The 27,658-nt window shown below is 41.4% G+C and overlaps 1 long non-coding RNA gene across 1 annotated transcript, besides 1 other annotated feature; it reads left to right on the forward strand.

Annotated features, from left to right (window-relative positions):
* Positions 1-2,754: 2,754 nt before the first annotated feature.
* Positions 2,755-27,658, forward strand: LINC02450 (long intergenic non-protein coding RNA 2450). Its single transcript, NR_135028.1, has 4 exons — positions 2,755-2,815; positions 4,367-4,470; positions 18,317-18,525; positions 27,030-27,658. It is a non-coding gene; the product is annotated as a long intergenic non-protein coding RNA 2450 (long non-coding RNA).
* Positions 6,247-6,326: a silencer, noted in NCBI's record as "silent region_4368". NCBI's record gives its function as "represses an Ori minimal core promoter by ATAC-STARR-seq in GM12878 lymphoblastoid cells {active_cell/tissue: GM12878}" and the evidence as "EXISTENCE:reporter gene assay evidence [ECO:0000049][PMID:35858748]".

The raw sequence follows: 27,658 nt of genomic DNA on the forward strand, positions 1-27,658 counted from the left end.
AAGAAGGATCCCTTCCCTTAGGTCACGATAGACATGAAAACACATGGCTGCAATGTTTTCAAATGCTATAATAGAAGTCTCTGCATGGAATGGTTGGATTACAAGGGGAGAACAAGCTCCTTCATGGGGAGGCTTCAGGAAAAATGTCAGAAGTAATGTTAGAAGAGAATTCTAAGACAAGTGAATGTTTACTGGGCTTTTATTAAAAAGAGTACATGGGAGAAAGAATATTCCAGACTGAGGATGCACAGAGGCCAGGAGGCTTGAAACTATCTAGCACATTTTGGGGGAACTGCAAGACATCCAGCCTGGTTGGAGCTTCACATGCTTAGGGTGGGGCCCAGGGGGAGAGAAACTGTAGAGGCAGTAGGCACAGTGTTCCTGGAGGACCACACGCTGGCAGAAGGCTGAGACACAATGCAGGGTATTCAGGGAACCACAGTGATGTGGCCTGTCTGAGGCACAGGAAAGAGAAGGAACTAGAGAGGCAGGGAAAGACCAAAACAGGAAGGGCTTTGAATGGTAGTCTAAAGCAAATTGAGTTTTTTGTCAGTGATGGGAAGCCACAGAGGGATATTAAGACATATCTGTTTTTAATTTTTTATTTCTAAATTAAGACAGTAAAATTTGCTTTCATTGGTGTACAGTCCTACCAGTTTTGACAAATGCATAAGTCATATTGCAACCCCTTTAGACAAATATAGAGTAGTTCCACCATCCCAAAAGAGTCCCCCAGGCTCTCCCTTTGAAGTCAGCTCTCCTCTGTCCCGGGCAACCAGTGATCTGTTTTCTGTTCCTGTGGCATTGCCTTTTCTAAAATGTCATAGGAACACAATAACACATATAGCTTTTTGATTCTGACTTCTTTCACTTAGCATAATATATTTAAGATTTATCCATTTAGTATGTATACCAGTAGTCTGTTCTATTACCGAGTGGTAGTCCATGGCATGGATATACCACAGGCTTTTAATCCATTCAACAATCAAAGGACATTTGGTTTACTTTCACTTTTTGGTAATTTCACTTTTTGGTAATAGAAAGCTGCTATGAACATTCAGGTACAGGCTTTTTACGAATATAACTTTTTCATTCCCCTTGGGTAAATGTCTAGGAGTACAATTACTGGGTCACTGGAGAGTATATGTTTAACTTTGTAAGAATCTGCCAAACTGTTTTCCAAAGGTACTTGTACCCTTTTCCAATCCTATTAGCAACATATGAGAGTTCCAGTTACTCTGTATCCTTGTCAGCACTTGATATTGTCAGTTAAAAAAAATGGAGCCATTTTCATAGATATGAAATGATAATCTCACTGTGGTTTTACTTTTTTTTTTTTTTTGGCCAAATGACTAGTGATATTGAAAACGTTTCGTGTGTGTGTGTGTGTGTGTGTGTGTGTGTGTGTGTGTGTGTTTTGCCATCCATATATCTTTGTTGGTGAAGTGTGTGTTGAAATCTATTGCCCAGTTTTATTTTTCCTTATTGTTGAGTTTTGAGAGTTCTTTATATATTCAGCATACAAGTCCCTTATATGTATTTTACAAATATTTCCTTCCAGTCTGTGGTTTATCTTTTTATTCTCTCAACAGTGTCTTGTAGAAGCTTTTCATGTTGATAAGTCCAGTTTATACTTTTTTCTTTTGTGGTCCAGCTTTTGGTATATTTTCTTTTTTGTTTGTTTTTTGAGATGGAGTCTCACTCTGTCACCCAGGCTCACTACAACCTCTGGGTATATTTTCTAAAATCTTCACCTAAGCAAGGCTGTAAATATTTTCTTCTAAATTTTCTTTTGGAAATCTGTGTATAGTTTAGGTTTTTCATTTAGGTCTGTGATCCATTTTGAGTTAATTTATGGATAAGGTGAAAGGTATGGGTCGAAGTTCACTTCTTTTCACTTAAGGTTGTGTCTCAGAAAGCCAGCAACAATGTTGAGAAGGGATTGGAGAGACAAGAAAGTTGAATGTTTCTTAATTTATCTCTTGTTCTAGGACTTTGCGCATCAGTAGATAAATGGAAAAATCATTCCCAACACAGGGATTGCTGGCATTTATGAATCAATTACATTGATTTGGCCAATATGAATGGTAAAATATTTAAAAAATACATAATAATTAGCCTGTTGGACGTATGACTTAGTGATTTGGCTGTATAGATATAGCTTGAACCCTTCTTTTGATCCAAATTTACTCCCTTATTTATCACTTGAGAGTTATAAGGAATTTAAAAGGAAGAATGTTTTATCTTTTATGTTCTATGATTGTACATCTGAGTAAGACAATTGCTATTATGCTTTGCTAATACTCCTGGTGGTGTCATGATATAAGGGAAGATGAATTTACTTTGACTAATGTATAAGAAAAAAAATCTGTTTTAAGAAAATCGAGGTGTTGGCTTATGAAAGATGAAATTCCAGAGACTCCTCATTTATGTTTTAGACAACAAAAATAATACATAAGCAAATGGAAGAGAGGCAGGAGAATAGGGTCTGGAGTCAGGGAACCTAAGGCCATTTCACACTGACTTCCTAGAACTAAATTGAATGGAAAACCCTAACTTTGCACATCTAAGTAACAAAAGGACCAGGGGCTACTCCCTTTGCAAACCCCCACGTTTTCTGCATGGCAGATGGGAAATTGAAAGTACTTCTGATTGGTTGCTTTTTGCATAGGAGTGTAACTTTGTAACGTCAGCCTCTGATTGGTTGCAGATAGCAACCAATCAGACTGATCGCCAGCAAAGTCTTTGTTTGCATAGACGTTCAACTTTGTAACTTCACCTTAGTCTCTGAGGGCCACAGCTTCATTTACATGAGGTGAACACAAAGTGGCCAATGGGAAATCTCTAGGGGGTATTTGGACCTGAGAAGATTCTATATCCAGGCCCTTGAGCTGCTGCCGCTGCCGGCTCCCACACTGTGGAGTGTACTTTCACTTTCAATAAGTCTCTGCTTTTGTTGTATCATTCTTTCCTTGCTTTGCTGTGTGTTTTGTCCAATTCTTTGTTCAAAATGCCAAGAACCTGGCCAACTTGGAGTCAAGACCCTCTACCGGTAACAGAACTACTTCTTCCGCCCATTCTACAACTTCATTTTTAATGAATAATCTATGCTATTCTTGAATTTCTTTAAATTAAATTAATTCATTTAAACTATCAAGTGGAAAGTAGAGAGTAGGGGTTTAGGCTGTGGAATCCAAATACTCAGGTTCAAATCCTAGTGTCTCTAACTGCATGACGGGAAAGCTCCTTAAATGCTGTGATCTCATTTCCTCCTCTATAAAGTGTGAAAGATGATATTTATACATATGGCTCTTGTGAAAATTAATTGAAATAGTGCTTTAAATGCTTAACTAAGACTGATAAGTAGTATGTGATCAATAAATATCAGCTATTTTTAGTAAAATTGAGAGCTTCCTTTAAGCTATTCTATGCATTGTGAAAGGATATAACCATGGAACAATACAGGGCTTCCTTCCTCAGGGAGTTTGCAATTTGCAACTCATTTAGGGATGCAGATGTGTAAAGAATGACCACTTAAAATTCAACCAGAGGCTGCTCTGCCTATGGAGTGGCCATTCTTTATTACTTTCCTAATAAGCCTGATTTCACTTAAAAACCAGAATGAAATAAGTGTTGTATTATATTTGTTAGGTGAGGTTAGAGTGATTATCAACCCCTGGGTGGATTAGAGGATGTTTCAGCCAAGGACAGTGTTTGATTTGGACCTTGGAGGAGGAGTAGCGGTCTCATAAATGGAGAAGCAGAAGAGAATGACTCACACATTGGTCCAGAAAGGATTTGGAGAAGAATTCTCTTGAGCTGAAGAAGGAAGGATAGGGGGTGGTGGGAAAGAAGTGATAGAAAAAGCAAGTAAAGAACAGATTTTAAAGGGACCAGAATGCCAAGAGGAGAGGTTGGGCTTGGGCTTTTCTTATTCACCATATTTTATACCTTTTTCATATTAGTTCTTGGAAAAAGCCAGCCTGGAAGACTACTCATGAAAGGTTTTCTCTTCCTTTTAAAAAAAATATAAAACAAAAAACAAAAACCACCCTTGTAAATCATTAATGGCCCATTTTAAAAAGGAGATTACAGCCTGGGAGTTACTATTTTTCTGTTAGAGAAATAAAAAGGAATATGTTGAATTATATGAAATATGAATTGGCCTCTGTGCTCCAGTACCTATCTGGGACAGATTTATAAATACTGAAATGATATAAATGATGGTTATTCAACCCATTTAACATTAGAGAACTTTTAATGGCAAAGCAAGGACACTGAAAGAAAAGTTTTAGGGAAAAATAGTGGTAGTCTGGAAATCTAAAAGTTATTCTTTATTCTTCCATATTGATTTACATCTATTTAGAACTTGAAGATTTTTAGTGTTATGCCTACTCTGCCAATTCTTGGAACATTTGCGGAACTGAGAATTTACTTCTTCGTTTATTACTTCCTAACTACATTTTAAAGGTAATAGTGAAATCTTAAATTATTCGTTCTCTTTTCATTGGGCAATGTCATTGAGGTAGAACTAATATTCAGAGAATTAATTTCCAAGATTTTTAATTCTGAAAATGATACAGATTATTTTTCTCAAGTTTAATCTGATGTCTCCTACAATAATACTGGGGAGTCGTGCTGGGAACAGAAGATAAGAAATCATTCATATTCTAGATTAGACAAGCTATACTTTAATTAACAGGCTGCAGTTGGAAAAATGACTCCAAGAATTAAATGTGAAAACCAGCTATTTCAGTGTTCCAAGAATATTTAATCCTCTTAGAAGAGTTTATCTATGTCACAATTGGGAATGATTTAAATTGTCTGTGGCATCTTTACGTTATTATTGAAAATGGAAAAAAAGAAAAATGCCCACCCTCACAGGCTTTTTGCGGCAAAGTTTGGGGGGCACCCACAATTTTAACTTCAGCATTGACAGAGTCCCTCCCCATCTTAGTTGGCGTTGGCTTTCAGGGTTTCTACCAAGGCATCTCTTCAGGCTCACTCTCTAAAAAGATGTTCTTGTTTCATCAGAGCTAACCTAGTTAGTGTCCCATTTCCACAGGACTCTGATAAATGCTAGAATTTCTGCTAAAATAATTTCAGAGTCTAGTGTTTATCCATTTGTTAATTCATTTGGTATTTATTGGTTGTTATTAGATAAACCTATTTTCACTTGAAAGGAAGTGTGAAAATAATATAGGCTTTAGAGTCTGAAGTTCTGAGTTCAAATTGTGAGTCTATCCTTAACTTCCCAAAGGTGTCTGCTGAACTCATATAACTTCTCTGAATTTCCGGCCTTTCATTTATAGAGTAGTGGGAGAATAACAACCACACAGGGAGATTGTGAATACCCTGAAGGGGATTTGCCAGGTGTAAAGTGCTATTTGAAATTTTTTAAACTAAACTAATAAATCCTGCTGAGGGAATGCTTTATCATCACAGGTTGCTCCTTTTATGGTGGTGTCAGTTTCAGGCATAGGCAGGTGGATATAGAATACTACTTGGGATGTGTGGCAGGTTATATGTTCTGAAGAAGACTGCAGTGTTCTCTTCTCCCACACACTCTTCTTGCAATGTGATCTTGACAGTACCCACATTGGGAGGTCTGTTTCCTCCCTTTGGACCTAGGTGACGTTTTCTCCTGTCTTTGCTTTCTTGGGATACTCATGCTTAGAACCCAGCCTCAGTGCTGTGAGGAAGCCCTGTTCCACTTATGTGGAGGAGAGGCCACGTGTAGGTTGGCTGGCAGCCTACCTGAAGTCTTAGCTGACAGCCAGCATCACCCAACAGTGGATGGAGATGCTTTCACACTTTGAGTGTCCCCAGCTCAGGCCCCGGATAACATGGAGCAGGGATATGACATCTATGATGTATCCCCTTCAAATTCCTAACCTACCAGTGAGGCAGAAGAATAGGGTCTAGAGGCAGGAAACTTAAGGCCATTTCACGCTGACTTCCTAGAACTGAATTGAAAGGAAAACCCTAACTTTCCAGGCTTAAGTAACAAAAGTAGTTGCAGAGGCTACTCCCTTTGCAAACCCCCACCTTTTCTGCAGCAGATGGGAGATTGAAAGTACCTCTGATTGGTTTGCTTTTTGCAACCAATCAGACATTTGCATAGGAGTGTCACTTTGTAACTTCACTTTAGCCTCTGACTGGTTGCTTCCCACAACCAATCAGACGTTTGCATGGGAGTGTGACCTTTATAACTTCACTTCAGCCCCTGATTGGTTGCTTTCCGCAACCAATCAGACTGATTGTGGGCCACCACCTCATTTACATGAGGTGAACGCCTAGTGGCCAATGGGAAACCTCTAGGAGGTATTTGGCCCTGAGAAGATTCTGTATCAGGGGCCCTTGAGCTGCTGCTGGGGCCTGCTCCCACACTTTCACTTTCTATTTCTTTCACTTTTCTATCTCTGCTTTGGTTGCTTCATTCTTCCTTGCTTTGCTGTGTTTTGTCCAATTCTTTGTTCCGAACGCTAAGAACCTGGACAACTTGCTGTAAAGACCCTCTACTGATAAAACCAGAATCCACGAGAATAATAAAATAATTGTTTCATGCCATCAAGTTTGGGAGTGGTTTGTTACACAGCAATAGCTAACCAGAACAAGTTGGGAGGATTTATCTACACCAAACCTGTTTTTAACATTTTAGTAAGGTTGTAAAGAAAATTTGAATAGTATTATTTCTATTGTTTCAATAGCTTTAAATCATGATGGCAAGCTGTAGTTATTTGTTTACTGAAACTTCAGAGCAAAATAGACTAAGAATTATTGGAAATTTATACTTTTTTCATGTAGGATCAAATATCATGAAGGGAATTGTCATTTTCATTCCCACATCATCTCCTTAGATTTTGAGTAGAGGGGCTGGCTGTATTCCTGTTGGCTTCTACTTCTACAAGGAATGAGAATTGAGCCTCTCCATTCTTAATGTCTTCAGAGTGGGATCCCACACATGAACTGTTCTAGCAACTCCTCTCTCTGGCATTCAGTCTTTCAGAACCAGAGGCAGGCAGAAAGCAGATGCTCTGTGGATAATTTGGGAAGAGACAGTGGAAGAATTTTATCACTTTGCAGCTCTAAAAGATACTTCAGACTATTGGCTTTTTCTGAACCCAGATGTTTCAGCTCTGTGGTTTATCTCCTTGTCTGTTCAAGAAGATTGTAAGATCTCTCATGAGCTTTCTCTCTTGAAACCTCGGGGCCTTTGCTTGAATGATTTACTTTACCCAGAATGGCTCCTTTCAATCCCTAGCCTTCTAAGTCCAGTAGAAATTCCACCTCTTTCATGAAAGTTTTGTGAGTTAGCGGCAACACTTCAGACTTCTTAGCACTTTGTTGGCACTTCTTTTAGAATTCTTAACGCCGCCAATGCCTGTTTCCCTGATGAGATCGCGATGCCATTCTTGGCGGGGTTTCCATCTTGTTTTCCTTCCTGACCCCTACTGTGGTTTCTCAGGAAATGCTCGTTGAATTTCATAAGACGACCCGGGGGAGTGCCAAAATTGTGCAATCAGAGTCAAGACACTTGGCTCCCAGTTTGAGGTCTGAGCCAGGTCTGTCAAGAGGAGATTCTGAAAATGGTCTTGTGACCCCAGAAGATTCTTCATGCTACTGGGCCTCCTCAGCTTGCTCCTCTGTAAAGTGAGACATTCAGAGCAAGGCAGTGGTTCTTAACTAGGTACACTTTTTCAACACCACGGGTGCCCAGAGGGTCTGATACATCCTTGGTTGTACAACCTTGGCTGGATTTACAATTTATAAGATGCCTTCCCATTTCAGTAATATATGGGGGCTGTTGGATATTGCTGTAGCCTGTGGAGTTAGATGGAAGGAAGTAAGCAGATTGGAATTACAGGTTAGGATTTCAGAGACATAACAAAAAAAAAAATCCTCTGAATAATAATAGCTAATATTTATGAACCGGGTGCTGTGCTGGGCTTGGAATGCCTTATTTTATTTACTAGGCACACAATGCCCTTATGGGGCAGGCACTACTATTATCCCGTTTTATAGATAAACTGGGGTTTAGTGAGGTCAAATAATGATCCAAGTTGCTGAACTAGGTTGCTAAGCACCGGAACTGAGATCAAACCCAGGCTCTCTGACTTCCGAACCTGTATTCCTAACTACTCCCTGGCTGCCTTTCTCTTAGTTTTTGCTTTTATTGTGTGGAGCTGATCGTATGTTTATTAAGTATTGACTTTATCAGTCTTTGCAATTCCACTCTATGTTCTGTATAATATTTGGTTACTGGTAGTTAGGAAGTGATGTTCACTTACAACAATCTTTTATAGAGATAGTGCATGGAGGCGTGGTTGGGCCGTTTAATTTTTGAAAATTGCAGCATACCATACCAGATTCACGAAAAGGTGGCGTCATTTTATTCTTTCACACATACAGTCATGAGTAGCTTAATGAGAGGGATACATTCTGAGAAATGCATCACTAGGCAATTTTGTCATTGTGTGAACATCATAGAATGTACTTACACAAACCTAGATGGTATAGCCTATTGCTTCTTGGCTACAAACCTGTACAGCATGTTACTGAACTGAATACTGTAGGCAATTGTAACACAATGGCATTTTTGCATGTAAACATACCTAAACAGAAAAGGTATGGTAAAAATATGGTGGTATAATCTTACGAGGAGCACTGTTGTATATATGGTTTGTCATTGGTGGAAAGGAATTTGAAAGGAATTTACTTTCTGAAGGGAATACCTGGAGTTAAAAGAACATCTGGTGTTACAAGGTCATCAAAGACCAGGAAATGTATCAAGTCTTCTGGAAACTCACCCAGAGTTCTCATTAGTGATGAGGGAATTGCTATTCTGTAACTGCATAGATGGAACAATGATAACTCATATCCATTGCAAAATGTTTCACCCCACAGAGTGATTAAGCAATTGGTATTTATTGCACCCAAGATATTGTTCACGTTTCTATTTGTGAACAACTCCCGTAACTACTCTTTTACTCCCCATTTCCTTATCATTGCACAATTTCCAGCTGCATCTGTAATGCCTCTGCCCAGTTAAGTGGCTCTTGGCTCCTGCTGAGCATGACTGATGGGCTGAGTTTCCCCTCAGGTTCTTCTAGTGCCCAATTTCCTAGTCTCCGTTAGCAGAACTGCTTTGTCCTATACATACTTTGTCTTAAGGTCAGCTCTGCTCTCAGCTGTGCCCTATCTTCCAGTGGTTGCTCAATCTGGTTCCGTTTGCCTCCATGACATTACTAAAATCTCTTCCCATCTCTTGGATTCAACAGCTCGAAATCACGTTTTTTTTTTTTTTTTTCCTATAGAATCATGACTTCCTTTCCCCAACCCCCAGAGTTTACCCTTAGACCTTGGTCGTTTTTATTTTCAGCTCCAATCAGTTAAAATTCTGCTCTAAAGTGGTCAAGTGATGCTTTCCCTTCCAAGGAGAGAGTGGATAGTGTCAATGGGTCTGGTGTGACTAGCACTTGTGCTTAGGGTCACAGGAAGGAAAGGCAATCGGGAAGGATTCCAGTAGAGAAGGTGGAGGAAGGGGCATCAGGCCATTGATCAGTGCTTCTGGTCTCCCACAAGTCTGCTGGCGATGCAGAGCACATGGTATAGGGGTCAGAATATTCCAGACCTGGCCGTGAGAGAGCTCAAAGACATGGGCAAGTAAGTCCCTGCCATCTCAGAGCTGCAGTCTCTATGAGAGTGGCCCCCCTGGTGGCCCATCTCCCTTCCTTATATTATTGGGGGTCACAAAGTGCCTCACTAAAGAGTGTACTTTCCAGTCTCCTGGGAAGTTAGATTTAGCCACATAGGTCTGGCTTAGGAGAACTAAGTGAAGTTCTGTGGGGACTTAAGCAGAGGAGGCTGCTTAAAAGTAGGAGATAACTGAGTGCAGAGCAGCTCCCTTTTAGCCTTTTCCCTTCTTTCCTGTAACCTGGCATGCAGATGGTGGGATTTCCATAGCTGACTTGCACCATGAGGTGCTTGGTAATAGAAGTATAGTGCATTAGCGTATAGCACCTATAAGGTATTAGTGCACAGGGCCTAATAGGGCATTAGGGCACAGCGCCTATGGGGTATTAGTGTATAGTATCTATAGTGTATTAATTTTCTGTTGCTATATAAGAAATTACCAGAAATTTAGTGGCTTAAAACAACACATTTATCATCTTACAGTTTCTGTGGATTTGGAGTCTGAGGATGGAGTCTCTGTTCAAGGTCTTGCGAGGCTGAAATCAAGGCATCAGCTGGGCTGTGCTCTCATCTGGAGCTTGGGCCCCTTTTCCAAGCTCATTCAGATTTTGGCAGCATTCAGTTCCTGGCAGTGGTGGAACTGAGGTCCTGTTTTCTTCTGGGCTGTTGGATGGGGGTCCACGCAGCTCCCTGGAGCTGCCCTCACATCCTAGCCTCATGGCCCCTCCCACATGGCTGCTTTCTTCTTAAAGGCCAACTGGAGAATCTCTCTTAGAAAGGCTCAAAAGCTACCTTGTAATTTCTTTAGGATGAGCCCAGTGCCTTTTAAGGGCTCACCTGGTTATCAGACCCACTCAGGATATTCTCCCTTTTAATTAAGTTAAAGTCAACTGATTTTGGTCTTTGATTACATCTGCAACGCCTCTTCAACTTTGTCATGTAATGTAACCTAATCATGGTGGTAAGATCCATCTTATTCACCGTCCTGCCTGTGATGGAAGGGAGGGGACTATTCTGAACACCAGGGGCAGGAATTTGGGACCATCTGAGTTCTGCCTCCTACACATAAGGTGGTGCAGTAGAAATATAGAGCCAGGCTCTCAGGAACTGTGGTGCCTCCTCATCACCTGTAAGCTGTGTAACTCTGACCTTTTTTTTTTTTTTTTTAGACGGAGCGATCTTGGCTCACTGCAAGCTCCACCTCCCAGGTTCACGCCATTCTCCTGCTTTAGCCTGCCAAGTAGCTGGGACTACAGGTGCCCGCCACCACGCCCGGCTAATTTTTTGTATTTTTACTAGAGATGGGGTTTCACCGTGTTAACCACGGTGGTCTTGATCTCCTGACCTTGCGATCCGCCAAATGAGATACATGTTCTTTGTTTATTGAAGACACTATATTCAGGCCTCTTTTACTAGCTGCTGAAAACAATACCTAAATTGATTTGATTCAACACTGAGGTTGGAGAAGCTATTTCTTATTTTGAGACAGGGTCTCACTTTGTTGCCCAGGCTGTAGTGCAGTGGTGTGACCACAGCCCACTGCAACCTTTAATTCCTGGCTCAAGAGATTCTCCCACCTCAGCCTCCCGAGTAGCTAGGACTACAGGCATGTGACAACATGCCTGGCTAATTTTTAAATTTTTTGTAGGAATGGGGTCTCGCTATGTTGTCCACGCTGGCCTTGAATGCAGAAGCTATTTCTAAGATTTAATCTTTCCCTTTCTTTGGGGGCATTCTCTTTGCTGTGTGTACACTGGCTGATGCCATGTTTGAAATTCAAAACTCTCTTGCTTGCCATTCATAGCTCTATGCATCCCAGGTGTACCTTGTAATTCTCCAGTGGTGATTCTGTTTGTTGTAGAGAAGAAAGAGCAGAATTTGAAGTTAGAAGACCTTGCTCCCAGGGTGGGCTTCTTCATTGATCAGCTTTATAATCTTTAGCAAGTTACTTCAATAGTTAAACTTGAATGCCCTTTAAGAAAATGAAGATAATAATCATACCTGTCTTGCCTACTGTATAGGATTGATGTGAGGAACAAATGAGAGAAATATGTGAAGGTGTTTCGAGCCCTGTAAATGCCTGAGCAAACGTTAATGACATGCCATGACTATCCATGCATTCATCTGTTCATTCTACAAACTTAATCTGAATGCATTATTTGTTAAGCATTGAACTGGTGCTGGGAATTCTAAGATTAGTAAGAGAGAGTTCCTGCCGTCACAGGGTCATAGTTTTTTGGGGTGGAGGGAGGGACAGACATATAAACAGTGGAGTATGAGATGTGCTAGGATAGAAGAATGTATGGATTAGTCCTAATCTGGACCTAAGGGGTCAGTAGAATCTTTCTAGAGGCTTGGGCAAATAAGAGATAGTCCGATGAATAAGTATTAATAATAATAATTACTATGCATAGAGTATTTGTTATGTATCAGGAACTGTTCTAAGTATGTTATATGTAGCCCTATGGTATAGATACTGTTATTCTAGCCTCCATTTTGCAGATAAGGAAACTGAGGCACAGGATAATTAATTTGCCCGACATAACACAGCTAGTAAGCTGGTGGAGCCAATCTAGGCTGATCCCATAATTGTTCACTCCAGAGCCTGATCCCATAACTGTTATGCACTGGACCAGGTGGGGTGGCCTGTCCAGAGAGATGTAACAGAAAGCCTGTTCTGTGGAGAAACTGCAAGTAGTTCATCAGGGTCCCAGCAATTCATCAAAAAGTAAAGATGGGGGAAAGAGGGAGTTAAGGGTACAAGGGCATAGAGAGGTAATATAAAAGGGCATAGAGAGGTAATATAAAAGCCAGTAAGCTTTTATATTGAGCAAAGGGAAGCCAGGTAAGGGTCTTGGCCAGGGTTGTTCTTTGCAAAGATCACTGTGGCACAGACGGATAATAGGTTGGAGGGGTAGTATTGGACACGGAAAATAGTAAGGAAGTGCTGGCAGCTGGGTTTAGGGGAATAGTGAGTCTGGGGACAAAGGCGTGGATATGTGACACATGAAAAAATTAGACAGGATTATTTGGGTGGTGGTTGACAGAAAAGGAAGAATCAAGAGTGAGTTGTAGTATCTGGTTTTACCTGACAGAAGGGCCCTTTGCAGAGATGAATGCTAGAGGAACAAAAGGAGGAAAGGTGATGAGATTTGAATATATGGAGTGCGAGGTGCTTTTGATTCATACAAGTAGGCAGTGAATACAGGTATGAATCTGAGAGATCTGGAATGTGAAGATAGGCTTGGGAATCATCAATATGTGGATTATAATAGAGGCCCTGGGGATGGATGAAATTGGCAAGGGAGAGTAATGTGGAGAGATAAGAACCAAGGACAGAAGTGCAGGGAGCACCCATCCTTGAAGTGTGAGCTGGGGGATATGAGGTGTGCAGAGAGACAGGAGGAACTCAAGAGTGCAGGGGAGTTAGAGATGCAAAAGCACTAAGTGGGTGGTTTCATGCAGAAAGGAGACTCGATACACATTAAACAAACAGGACAAGTAAGCGAAGGAGTGAAAAATATTCATTGGACTTGGCCACAAAAAGATGAGCACAATTCCAGTGATTGCTCTGCATGGACATCAGGTTGCAGAGGGTTGAGAAATAAACGAGAGGTGCAAAGGTAGAGCTAATAAGTACACAAACGAACAAAACCAAAAAATGAGAAACAAGCTTTTTCTAGGACTTTGTGACAGGAGGAAGTCCAAAGGATAGGTGAAGAGGGTGTAGGATCCAAGGAGAGTTTTTTCTTTCTTTTCCTGTAAGTTGGGGACATATGAGCAAGTTTTTAGTGTGAAGGAAAAGAACCACTGGAAAGAGCCTACCTGAGTGGGCAACATAGTGAGAGCCCATCTCTACAAAAAAATTAAAAACATTAGCAGGCTATGGTAGTATGTGTCTGTAGTCCCAGCTACTTGGGAGGCTGAGGTGGGGGGATCGATTGAGTCTGGGAGGTCGAGGCTGAAGTGAGCTGTGATTGTGCCACTCCAGCCTGAGTGACAGAGTGGGACTCTGTCTCAAAAAAATAGAGCGTGGCTACTATAAAGAAAGAAGGATGATAAAGTAAGGTTTCCTGGGGAGGCTGAGGGAACAAGGTTCAGCAGCTGAGTGAGAGGATTCATCATAGGGAGAATGTTTTCTTCCTTTAGATGGGGAGAGAGGAAGTGCTCCCTAGGCTCCCACCCACCACCCACCTGATTCTGCCAGGCCCGGGACACTGACCTGCCACACCAACCTCTGCCTTGTGCTGTTGTCATTCAGACACGTGCCAGCATGCATCCATTCAGCAAATACTGGTTGAGTACCTACTAGGAGCTAGCCCCTTTTTGAAATGCTGGAGATACATTAGTGTTTACAGCAGACAAAAACCCCACCTCTTGAGTTTACCTATTCTGGTGGGAGGGCAGAGGCAATAAAATAACTGAGTAAATTATGCAGCATATTAGAAGTTGATAAGGCCTAGGCAGAAAAATAGAAACGGGAGAAAGAGAGGATTGAAGGGTCTCCCTGAGAAGGTGAGACTTGAGCAAAGATATGAAGGAGGTAAGAGAGGAAGTCCTGCCTATGTTTGGAGGAAGAATATTCCAGGCAGAGGCAACCGCAACTGCCAAGATCCCAAGGCAGGAGTAGGCCTGGCATCTCTGAGGAGCTGAGTGAGTGAGCAGTGAGGGCTGAGAGGTAATGGCTGGGTGGAGTTGCAGGACACTTAGGACCTCGTGGGTCACTTAAAGGATGTTGACTTTTATTCTGAGATGGGAGGCCATTGGAAGGTTGTGAGCAGAGGACTGATGTAGGTTTTCTTATGGTTTAAAGGATCGCTCTGGCTGCTATGTTGAGGATTGACTGTGGGGAGTGAGGAGGTTGGGGACAAGTGTGGAAGGTCGGAAGCCAGTGAGGAGGCCATTGCAACAATTCAGGTGTTGAATGATGTGGCTTGGGAGAGTTGCTTTAGAGGAGATTATAAGCAGTGGCTAGACTTTGTATATATCTTGAAGGTTGAACCAGAAGGGTTTACTGACTGTTTATGAGGAAGACTCCAGAACTTTTGTCTTGAATAATCAGAAAGCCTCTTATCTGTTCCTTGTGAAAAAGAAGCTGGTTTTAATTTTCTTTGTATGTTTCATAGTTCCAATTGCAGTTTTGGGTGAACTTCAAGTTTTTGGTAAAAACTATTTAAATTTAATTGAAAGATTTGTAGCCCTCTAAACTCATGCCCTATGGGATGATTAAAGTAGCTAATTTGTTGTTTTAAATACACCTTTTCCCTAAACTCAACACTAAATCTCTCAAAGTAACATCTATTTTCTGGAAGCAAATGGGACTTGTATGGTGTGACTCATAGGTAGGGATTGCTTGGGAATTTTGGGTGGAGGAGAGAAAGGAAAGAGTTGGCCCAAGGAGGCACCACATTGGAAACCTGGAGCAGCTGAGGGCTCTCAGCTGAGAGGTGACTGGCAAAGTGAAGGTGGGAATCTGAAAAACAAGAAAGGAAACCCAGATTGATTTTTTCCCTGATACCTTCAGTGTCTGACAATGTGTATTCTGACAATGTACATGCCTCTGTATGGCTTGCAAACAACAAGGACTTTGTTGCATCTTAAGTTCTTGAATTACAAGCAGAAGGAAGACAACATTTGGAAATGTGTCCTACTTTTGTGTTCTCTTAAAAAAAAAAGCATCAAATTTTTTCTTTCCCCTTATGGTTCTAGAACTAATGTGCCAGTCACCTGTGTGTTTGCTCTCAGATCCATCCCCACTCTTATCTTTGACTGTTCTGAACTGCAGGTGGCTTCCACTGCAGACTTCACTTCCCAGCTCCCTTCCCCACTGGCTCCAGGCTTAGTGGGTGTGAAGCACTGCAGGGGATTGCAGGGTGTGAAGTGCTGTACTGAAGAACAAGGGTATTTCTTCCCCTCCGTCTTTGCTTCAAGTGATGTTCCAAAAGTAGCTATATTTTCTCTCCCAAAAGCCACACATACCACTGAGTGGCTCAGACTACTAGCTCTGTTAATATCACCTCTTCTCTTTTCTCTCCCACTTCTTGGTACTAGCTTCTTGATTCTGCTAATTGCTGGACTGCCCTATTGCTTCCTGTTACCTCATTGTTTCCTGTTACCTCTCATAAAAGCTTTGTAACTTGTTCTCCATATTAAATTCCTAATATTGAGCTACCTGGTATGTGCTGTTTTCTTAGTCGGAACTTGACTGACATGTGTATTTATTGTTGAAATTTGGCAAGAGGAGAGTTTTGTAGAACATAGAAGAATATAAAATCACCACTAATCCCACCATCCAAAAGTAGCTATAGTTAGTGTTTTGGTGTGTATCTTTCCAGTTTATTTTCATGTGCATATAAGCATTTTTTTTTTTGTTCACAACTTTGGAGACATAGTGTACTCTTTGCTTTGTAATCTTTTTTTCCCATTTGATATATTGAAAAAATTTCTAAATCATTTGGTATTCCTATATAACATGATTTTTAAAAATCATGTTATATAGTTAGTTCTGTGACTTCAAATAGATATACTAGAATTTAGTCAGTGGACCACTGTTGGTTGTTCAAATCGTTTCCAATATTTTGCTATTATAATATTATATGCAATTTTGGGGGTATATTTCTGATTGTTTCCTTAGAGTAGATTGAAAAGGTAACTTCTACAAGAGCAGAGGTGTTTTCTGGCCTGCCCACTGATGAATTCTCAGTGCCTAAAGCAGTGTGGGAAGGGATACGTACAGTCTAGGGACCTCATACATGTTGAACTGCCTCTCTTTTGGGGGCCGGGGCTGATTCATCACACAGAAAGTAGTCGGCTCAGAACTGGCTGGCTGCCTGATGTATTGTACAGGATGGAGCCTCCAGGCTACCACAGCTGCTGGGATTCATTCAGCTGGTGGAATTTGCCTTTTGTAACTGAGAGCCAGCTGGACTGAGAGTGAAGGCCAGGGCCTTGTGGATTCCTGTGAAGTCCACTCCTGTTCCTCCAGGACATCTGTTGGCTGCTCTCCTGAGGCTCTTGTAACCATGTTGTGTCAAAGCCCAGGCCCTGCCCCAGCTGGACGAAGCCTGCAGGGGTGGGGATGGAATTTTCAGGCCCCTTCAACTCTGAACCCTTAAAAACTGAGATTTTCTTAATTTTAGGCTTTCAACTACACTCTTAAATTTACTATTTTGAGGGTTAATTCAGATATCAAAGAAAGGCTTGATCACCAAGTAGATGGTAAAGGAAGTCCTTTTTGGTAAAGGAAGTTTAACTTAACCTTTACCAAGTTAACCAGCTCACAAGTTTTTTTTTCTTCTTCAGCAAATGAGGCACCACAGGAAGCTGGAACCTGGTCTCACCATTTATCTTTGGTTTGCCTAAGACCAAATAAATGACTTTATGCCCCAGGCTAAATAACAACAACATGCCAATAAAATAAAAACCACAAAGACAAAGTGGAATGTGGAGGACATGAAAGTTTCATGCTAGGAATTAAACTAGAACATGAAGAAGCATCCGGAGATCTCCAGTTCTGAATACCCTGGTCACTGTCAACAAGTTCCAAATGATTTAAAGTACTAATTGAATTTGATAATTGTTTATTGATCACATAGTATATACTCTGCATCAGAAGCTGCCTCTAAGTAGTGTCACCTTAAGCAGAAGGGATTGAGGTACAAATTCACATCTCAGTAAACACTAAAGTGCTTAATTAGGAGCCCAGGATTGCATTGCTTGGGTTCTAATCCTGGCTTCACCATTATTCGCTGTGTGATCTTGGGGAAGTTGTCAGCTCTTCCTTGGCTTCAGTTTCCTAGTCTATAAAAAGGATGTAATATCCCACAAAGTTATTGGGAGATTTAAATGAATTAACATATATAATGTATTTGGAACACTGCCTGGGACATGGCATATCTGCTTTGTTGCTCCACAGCTTCTCTCCAATGCCAAGTTTTCCTCTGGGTTGGGGTGCGGTATGACTTGGGGAATTGTTGCCTAGCCATTTATTTGGTGTGCGTCCCCTGCATCTGCAGGGACTTCCTAGCTTCCACCTCTTTGTAGCTTCCTAAACTTTCACTTGAAATACATGACCTTTGGTCAGTCCCCAGCTTGCCCCTCAGTGAGGGGTTAATGCAACACACTAGGCTAGGGAATGTAGAAGATAGGGAATTGTAAGGAAAGGTCTTTCCTTGATATGCTCAGCCTGTGAGGGTCTAACATACCTGGTCCAGGAAGAGATACCTTAGAATAGGATGCTGGCATTGGTATGGGGTTCCTTAAAATCACTGAAAGGAGGCCTAGTCCCTGAGAATGATTCTTAGCAACTGGACAGTCTGCCAATATTAGGACGATGTACTCAAGACAATCCAGCCTTTCATCCAAATTCAGGAATCTTTGGACGCTATCCCTTGGGAGATGATCATTTAATTTCTGCTCTAACATTTTATTCATTTGTTCATTCACTCACTCACTGGGCTAGGCCAGTCAAGGGGACTTCACCACTTTGACCTATCAGAGGATAGTAAATTCTCCCAAACAACTTCCAGCAGGTCTTTTTTATTCTGGTTTTTCATACAAGTCATCTCTATTTTATATATTTAATGGCATACATTATCTTCCTGAATCTTTTCCTTTTCAGACTCATTTGTTCTAGATTCAGATCATTCAACAAAACATGGCATGATTTCCACAGTCTCTGACATTCTGATTGCATTGCTTGAGAAAATTCTCAGTCTGGGAATCTCCTTAAAATGCAGCACAGATGATGGCTGAATAGGAACAGCTCCGGTCTGCAGCTCCCAGCGAGATCAACGCAGAAGGCGGGTGATTTCTGCATTTCCAACTGAGGTACACAGCTCATCTCATTGGGATTGGTTAGATAATGGGTGCAGCCCACAGAGGGTGAGCTGAGGCAGGGTGGGGCGTTGCCTCACCCGAGAAGTGCAAGGGGTTGGGAAACTCTCTCCCCTAGCCAAGGGAAGCCATGAGGGACTGTGCCATGAGGAACAGTGCATTCCAGCCCAGATACTACGCTTGTCCCACAGTCTTTGCAACCTGCAGACCAGGAGATTCCCGCGGGTACCTACACCACCAGGACCCTGGTTTTCAAGCACAAAACTGGGCGGATGTTTGGGCAGACACTGAGCTAGCTGGAGAAGTTTTTTTTCATACCCCAGTGGCGCCTAGAATGCCAGCAAGACAGAACCATTCACTCCCCTGGAAAGGGGGCTGAAGCCAGGGAGCCAAGAGGTCTAGCTCAGCGGATCCCACTCCCACGGAGCCCAGCAAGCTAAGATCCACCGGCTTGAAATTCTTGCTGCCAGCATAGCAGTCTGAAGTTGACCTGGGATGCTCGAGTTTGGTGCAGGGAGGGGCGTCCACCATTACTGAGGCTTGAATAGGAGGTTTTTCCCTCACAGTGTAAACAAAGCTGCAGGGGATTCCAACTGGGCAGATCCCCCTGCAGCTTGGCAAAGCCACTGTAGCCAGACTGCCTCTCTAGATTCCTCCTCTCTGGGGAGGGCATCTCTGAAAGAAAGACAGCAGCCTCAGTCAGGGGCTTATAGATAAAACTCGCATCTCCCTGGGACAGAGCACCTGGGGGAAGGGGCAGCTGTGGGCATAGCTTCAGCAGACTTAAACGTTCATGCCTGCTGGCTCTGAAGAGAGCAGCGGCTCTCCCAGCACAGTGTTCGAGCTCTGCTAAGGGACAGACTGCCTCCTCAAGTGGGTCCCTGACCCCACTGCCTCCTGACTGGGAGACACCTCTCAGCAGGGGTCAACAGACACCTCATACAGGAGAGCTCTGGCTGGCATCTGGCAGGTGCCCCTCTGGGACAAGGCTTCCAGAGGAAGGAGCAGGCAGCAATCTTTGCTGTTCTGCAGCCTTCGCTGGTGATACCCAGGAAAACAGGGTCTGGAGTGGACCTCCAGCAGACCTGCAGCAGAGGGGCCTGACTGTTAGAAGAAAAACTAACAAGCAGCAAGGAATAGCATCAACATTAACAAAAAGGATGCCCACACAGAAACCCCACCTGAAGGTCACCAACATCAAAGACCAAAGGTAGGTAGATCCACAAAGATGAGGAAAAACCAGCGCCAAAGGGCTGAAAATTCAAAAACCAGGATGCCTCTTCTCCTCCAAAGGATCACAACGTCTCACCAGCAAGGGAACAAAACTGGATGGAGAATGAGTTTGACGAATTGACAGAAGTAGGCTTCAGAAGGTGGGTAATAACAAACTCCTCCGAGCTAAAGGAGCATGTTCTAACCCAAAGCAAGGAAGCTAAGAACCTTGAAAAAAGGTTAGAGGAATTGCTAACTAGAATAACCAGTTTAGAGAAGAACATAAATGACCTGATGGAGCTGAAAAACACAGCACGAGAACCTGGTGAAGCATACAAAAGTATCAATAGCTGAATTGATCAAGTGGAAGAAAGGATATCAAATTGAAGATCAACTTAGATTAGAGAAAAAAGAAAGAAATGAAACAAAGCCTCCAAGAAATATGGGACTATGTGAAAAGACCTACGTTTGATTGTTGTACCGGGAAGTGACGGGAAGAATGGAACCAAGTTGGAAAATACTCTTCAGGATATTATCCAGGAGAACTTCCCCAACCTAGTAAGACAGGCCAACATTCAAATTCAGGAAATATAGAGAACACCACAAAGATATTCCTTGAGAAGAGCAACCCCAAGACACATAATCATCAGATTCACCAAAGTTGAAATGAAGGAAAAAATGTTAAGGACAGCCAAAGAGAAAGGTCGGGTTACCCACAAAAAGAAGCCCATCAGATTAATAGCAGATCTCTTTGCAGAAACCCTACAGGCCAGAAGAGAGTGGGGGCCAATATTGAAAATTCTCAAAGAATTTTCAACCCAGAATTTCATTTCCAGCCAAACTAAGCTCATAAGTGAAGGAGAAATAACATTTTTTACAGACAAGCAAATGCTGAGAGATTTTGTCACCACCAGGCCTGCCCTAAAAGAGCTCCTGGAGGAAGCACTAAATATGGAAAGGAAAAACTGGTACCAGCCACTGCAACAACATACCAAATTGTAAAGACCATCAACACTATGAAGAAACTGCATTAACGGATGCGCAAAATAACCAGCTGGCATCATAATGACATGATTGAATTCACACATAACAATATTAACCTTAAATGTAAATGGGCTAAATGCCCCAATTAAAAGACACAGACTGGCAAATTGGATAAAGAGTCAAGTCCCATTGGTGTGCTGTATTCAGGAGATCCATCTCATGTGCAAAGACATGCATAGGAAGTTTACCTTAACCTTTACCAAGTTAACCAGCTCACAAGTTGGTTGTGATGGAGGAATATTTACCAAGCAAATGGAAAGCAAAAAACAAGGGTTGCAATCCTAGTCTCTGATAAAACAGACTTTAAACCAACAAAGATCTAAAAAGACATAGAAGGGCATTACCTAATGGTAAAGGGATCAATGCAACAAGAAGAGCTAACTATCCTAAATATATATGCACCCCATACAGGAGCACCCAGATTTATAAAGCAAGTTCTTAGAGACCTACTAAAATACTTAGACTCCCAGACAATAAGAGTGGGAGACTTTAACACCCCACTTAGCACCCAGATTCATAAAGCAAGTTCTTAGAGACCTACAAAAAGATTTAGACTCCCACACAATAATAGTGGGAAATTTTGACACCCCATTGTCAATATTAGGTAGATCAACAAGTCAGAAAATTAACAAGGATATTCAGGACTTGAACTCAGTTCTGGACCAAGCAGACCTAATAGATAGCTACTGAACACTCCACCCCAAATCAACAATATACATTCTTCTTAGCACCACATCGCACTTATTCTAAAATTGACCACATAATTGGAAGTAAAACACTCCTCAGCAAATGCAAAATAACAGAAATCATAACAGACAGTTTCTCAAACCACAGTACATTCAAATTAGAACTCAGGATTACAAAACTCACTCAAAACCGCACAACTACATGGAAACTGAACAACCTGCTCCTGAATGACTACTGGGTAAATAACATTAAGGCAAAAATAAATAAGTTCTTTGAAACCAATGAGAACACAGACACAATGTACCAGAATCTCTGGGACACAGATAAAGCAGTGTCCAGAGGGAAATTTATAGCACTAAATGCCCACAGGAGAAAGCGAGAAAGATCTAAAATTGACACCCTAACATCACAATTAAAAGAACTAGAGAAGCAAGAGCAAATGAATTCAAAAGCTAGCAGAAGACAAGAAATAACTAAGATCAGAGCAGAACTGAAGGAGATAGAGACATGAAAAACCCTTCAAAAAAATCAACGGATCTGGGAGCTGTTTTTTTTTTTTTTTGAAAAGATTAACAAAAATAGACCACTAGCCAGACTAATAAAGAGGAAAAGAGAAGAATCAAATAGACACAATAAAAATGATAAAGGGGATATCACTGCTGATCCCACAGAAATACAAACTACCATCAGAGAATACTATAAACACCTCTGTGCAAATAAACTAGAAAATCTAGAAGAACTGGAAAAATTTCTGGACACATACATCCTCCCAAGACTAAACCAGGAAGAAGTCAAATCCCTGAATAGACCAATAACAAGTTCTGAAATTGAGGCAGTAATTAATAGCCTAACACCCCCCCCCCCCCAAAAAAAAAAAGCCCAGGACCAGATGGATTCACAGCCAAATTCTACCAGAGATACAAAGAGGAGCTGGTACCATTCCTTCTGAAACTATTCCAAACAATAGAGAAAGAGGGACTCTTCCCTAACTCATTTTATGAGGCCAGCATTATCCTGATACCACAACCTGGCAGAGGTACAAAAAAAAAATTTCAGGCCAATCTTTCTGATGAACATCAATGCGAAAATCCTCAGTAAAATACTGGCAAACAGAATCCAGCAGCACATCAAAAAGCTTATCCACCATGATCAAGTTGGCTTCATCCCTGGGATGCAAGGCTGGTTCAACATACACAAATCAATAAATGTAATCCATCACATAAACAGAACCAATGTCAAAAACCAGGTGATTATCTCAATAGATGCAGAAGAGGCCTTTGATAAAATTCAACACCTTCATGCTAAGAACTCTCAATTACTAGATATCAATAGAATGTATCTCAAAATAATAGCTATTTATGACACACCCACAGCCAATATCATACTGAATGGGCAAAAGCTGGAAGCATTCCCTTTGAAAACTGGCAGAAAACAAGGATACCCTTTCTCACCACTCTTGTTCAATATAGTATTGGAAGTTCTGGCTAGGGCAATCAGGCAAGAGAAAGAACTAAAGGTATTCAAATAGGAAGAGAGGAAGTCAAATTGTCTCTGTTTGCAGATAACATGATTACATATTTAGAAAACCCCATTGTCTCAGCTCAAAATCTCCTTAAGCTGTAAGTAACTTCAGCAAAGTCTCAGGATACAAAATCAATGTGCAAAAATCACAAGCATTCCTATACACCAATAACAGACAAACAGACAAATCATGAGTGAACTCCCATTCACAATTTCTACAAAGAGAATAAAATACCTAGGAATACAAATTACAAGGGATATGAAGGACCTCTTCAAGGAGAACTACAAACCACTGCTCAAGGAAATAAAAGAAGACCCAAACAAATGGAAAAACATTCCATGCTCATGGATAGGAAGAAGAATCAATATCATGAAAATGGCCATACTGTCCAAAGTAATTTATAGATTCAATGCTATCCCCATCAAGCTACCACTGACTTTCTTCACAGAATTGGAAAAAAAACTACTTTAAATTTCACACGGAACCAAAAAAGAGCCTGTATAGCCAAGACAATCCTAAGCAAAAGGAAAAAAGCTGGAGGATCATGCTACCTGACTTCAAACTATACTACAAGGCTACAGTCACCAAAACAGCATGGTACTGGTACCAAAACAGATATATAGACCAACGGAACAGAATAGAGTCCTCAGAAATAACACCACACATTTACAACCATCTGATCTTTGACAAACCTGACAAAAACAACCAATGGGGAAAGGATTCCCTACTTAATAAATGGTATTGGGAAAACTGGCTAGCCATATGCTGAAAATGAAAACTGGACCCCTTCCTTACACCTTATACAAAAATTAACTCAAGATGGATTAAAGACTTAAACGTAAGACCTAAAACCATAAAAAACCTTAGAAGAAAACTAAGCAATGCCATTCAGGATATAGGCATGGTCAAAGACTTCATGACTAAAGCACCAAAAGCAATGGCAACAAAAGCCAAAATTGACAATGGGATCTAATTAAAGAGCTTCTGCACAGCAAAAGAAACTATCATCAGAGTGAACAGGCAACCTACAGAATGGGGGAAATTTTTTGCAATCTATCCATCTGACAAAAGGCTAATATCCAGAATCTACAAAGCACTTAAATTTACAAGAAAAAAACAACCCTATCAAAAAGTGGATGAAGGATATGAAGACACTTCTCAAAAGAAGACATGTGGCCAACAAACATGAAAAAAAGCTCATCATCAGTGGTCATTAGAGAAATGCAAATCAAAACCACAATGAGATACCATCTCATGCCAGTTAGAATGGTCATCATTAAAAAGTCAGGAAACAACAGATGGTGGAGAGGATGTGGAGAAACAGGAATGCTTTTACACTGTTGGTGGGGAGTGTAAATTAGTTCAACCATTGTGGAAGACAGTGTAGCGATTCCTCAAGGGTTTAGAACCAGAAATAACACTTGACCCAGCAATCCCGTTACTGGGTATATACCCAAAGGGTTATAAATCATTCTACTATGAAGACACATGCACACGTATGTTTATTGCAGCAGTGTTCACAATAGCAAAGAATTGGAACCAACCCAAATGCCCATCAATGATAGACTGGGTAGAGAAAATGTGGCATATATGTACCATGGAATACTATGCAGCCATAAAAAGGATGAGTTCATGTCCTTTGCAGGGACATGGATGAAGCTGGAAACCATCATTCTCAGCAAACTAACACAGGAACAGAAACCCAAACACAGCATGTTCTCACTTGTAAGTGGGAGTTGAACAATGAGAACACATGGACACAGGGAGGGGAACATCACACACTGGGGCCTGTCAATGGGTAGGGGTTTAGGAGAGGGATAGCATTAGGAGAAATACCTAATGTAGATGATGGGTTGATGGGTGCAGCAAACCACCATGGCATGTGTATACTTATGTAAAAAACCTGCATGTTCTGCACATGTATCCCAAAACTTAAAGTATAATAAAAAATGCAGCACAAAGATTTAGTCTCAACACTCCATATGCAGAATAAGAGTCTCCCTGATGGATCTACTAATGGAGCCTAAGACTGTTTTAGCTTTTAAAGGAAAATTTTAAATGAGTCATTATTTGCCCAATTTTCTTCCACACGATAGCTACGTAATTGGCTTTGTAAATCTACATGTAACAGTTTAATTTCACTGCAGCTCACTTATCCTCTGATGTAATTTTGAATTTGCCAGTTAGAGGTATTTTTAGTGCCCATAATTTTGATAAGCATGAAGATGAATAAGAAAGACAAGGACGGCATACTCCAGCACCCCATCACAAATTTTGCTCTGAGATGAATACCCATCTACTAATCAACACTCTTTGACTTTGGATTCAACCAGCTGATTCTTCCCACAACTCAATCTATAGTTGCTACTCACATATCTGATTCAGTTTGGGTTGCTATAACAGAATACCATGGACTGGGTGATTTAAATAACAGAAATGTATTTCTCGTAGTTCTGGAGGCTGGGGTAGTCCAAGGTCAAGGCACTGGCAGGTGTCTGGTGACATCCTCTTCCTGGCTTGCAGTTGGCCATTTTCTTATTCTACCCTCACATGGTTGAGAGCAGAAAGAGAGGAAGCTCTCTCATGTCTCTTTGTATGTGTATATGGGCACTAATTTCATCATGACACCTCAACCCTCATGGCCTAATTGTTTCCTGAAGGCCTCATCTCCAAAGACCCTAACATTGGAGATTCAGGCTTCAAAATGCAAATTTTGGGGAGACACAAATGTTCAGTCCATAGCACCAATTTTGAAGCTCTTCACTTAGTAGGGCAACATTGGAAAAGTTATGTATAATAACTTCTCTGAACCTCACTATCATCATCTGTAAAGTGGAGGAATATCTACCTTGAAGTGAGGGCTAAGATAAATTATAGTGAAGGTTTATCATAGTGTCAAGCATTTAATGTCAGTTATTTAATATGTTATTTCTCCATCTTGTCCACTAGATACCACAAAATTGATCTGAAATTTCATTATCACAGTTTCAATATTTTCCTGTCTTTGGTCTTTTGGAACTTTCCCCCTTTTTTTTTTTTTTTTTTTTTGAGACAGAGTCTCACTCTGTCACTCAGGCTGGAGTGCAGTGGTGCGATCTCACTGCAAGCTCTGCCTCCTGGGTTCGCGTCATTCTCCTGCCTCAGCCTCCTGAGTAGCTGGGACTACAGGTGCCTGCCACCATGCCCAGCTAATTTTTTGCATTTTTAGTAGAGACGGGATTTCACCGTGTTAGCCGGGATGGTCTGGATCTCCTGACCTCATGATCCACCTGCCTTGGCCTCCCAAAGTGCTGGGATTAGAGACGTGAGCCATGGCACCTGGCTGAGCTTTTCCTATTTTTAATGACTTTTAAAGGATTAATTGGCAATGATCTTGATATAAGCCTAGAGATTTGTTTAACAGCTGAGAGCAATTATGACTTCCTATAGAGCACTAGATTAGCCTAGTGACTAATACAAATAATATCATTAATTTGGGTGCTGGGGAGAGGAACTCCATAAGAGTTGAGAATCAAACCTGGAAGTCAGACAGTAGCTTTTTTTTTTTTTTTTTTAAATGTGGTATGCAGAAGTGGAAGACCATGCAGGATAATTTTTATTAGATTTTATTACAGAACATTCAGCACAAATATTACTGCTCAGATTGGGGTGGGTGATTGTTGCATTTACTTGGACATTGTTTATCTGATAGTATCATCATGATTAGGAGGTTCTGGGATCAGACTGACCTGGCTCCATCATTTGCCAGTGTGTGTAAGGTCACAGCTGGAACCTTGACTGAGTCTGTTTGCTCGTCACTTAAATGGTATCCAGAACATAAGATGGTTTGAGGATCATGGGAGAATGTGTGTCTGAAGTGCTTATCCTGGTTCCTAGTCCATAGTGGTGGACTCAATAAATGGTAGCCGTGATTTTAACTATGGTAAGAGAAAATTTCGCAAAGGAACTGGCCGCCAAACACCACTAAAAATTTAATCATTGCCTTTTTTACAGCAGGCAGATTATAGGAATATTTGCTTTCTTTTCTCTCAAGGGTGTAACACTGTGACCAACGAAGAGAGTGTTTTCTATCAGTGACTCGCAGACTTCCCTTTCACTGGAATCCAGCTTATTAGCTGCATGGTTAACTTTGGAGCCAGGAAAACATCCTGCACATGACACTGCCATCAAGCAGAGGAGACATGTTTCTCGGCTTCCCCTCTCTGGGACTTAATAGCCTCTGAAGGCTAGCCTTTACTGACTCATGAAGCTGTGTCTGCCTGGGGTCAGTGGTGGAGACATTGCGTTAACCCCAGCAAGCGAGCCATCACCAGAGCTTTGCACAGGGAGACACCACATAGAAAGGCAGATGAGGCAACACACACACCATCCCCAGACAGCCATGGGTCCCCAGAGACAGGAAAAATATGTGTTTTCTTAAAGAATTAGAAAAGAAAACCTTGCTTTTTCCTGTGTGGCTCATTGGTAGGAGATCTCAAATTCTAACCCTTGTTTTCTCTTTTACCTCTCTGTCTGCTAAAAAGCACTCCTTAGATCCAGTATCTAGCATGGTGAGCCTCCTGGATGCAGTGCTGCAGTGGCCACTGCTGGGTCAAAAACAAACACTGGGAAAGGAGGAAAATGATGTTTTTCTCTCTTTCAATAAAGCATTTGAAATCTCTA

Source organism: Homo sapiens, chromosome 12, assembly GCF_000001405.40.
Source record: "Homo sapiens chromosome 12, GRCh38.p14 Primary Assembly".
Classification (NCBI taxonomy): domain Eukaryota; kingdom Metazoa; phylum Chordata; class Mammalia; order Primates; family Hominidae; genus Homo; species Homo sapiens.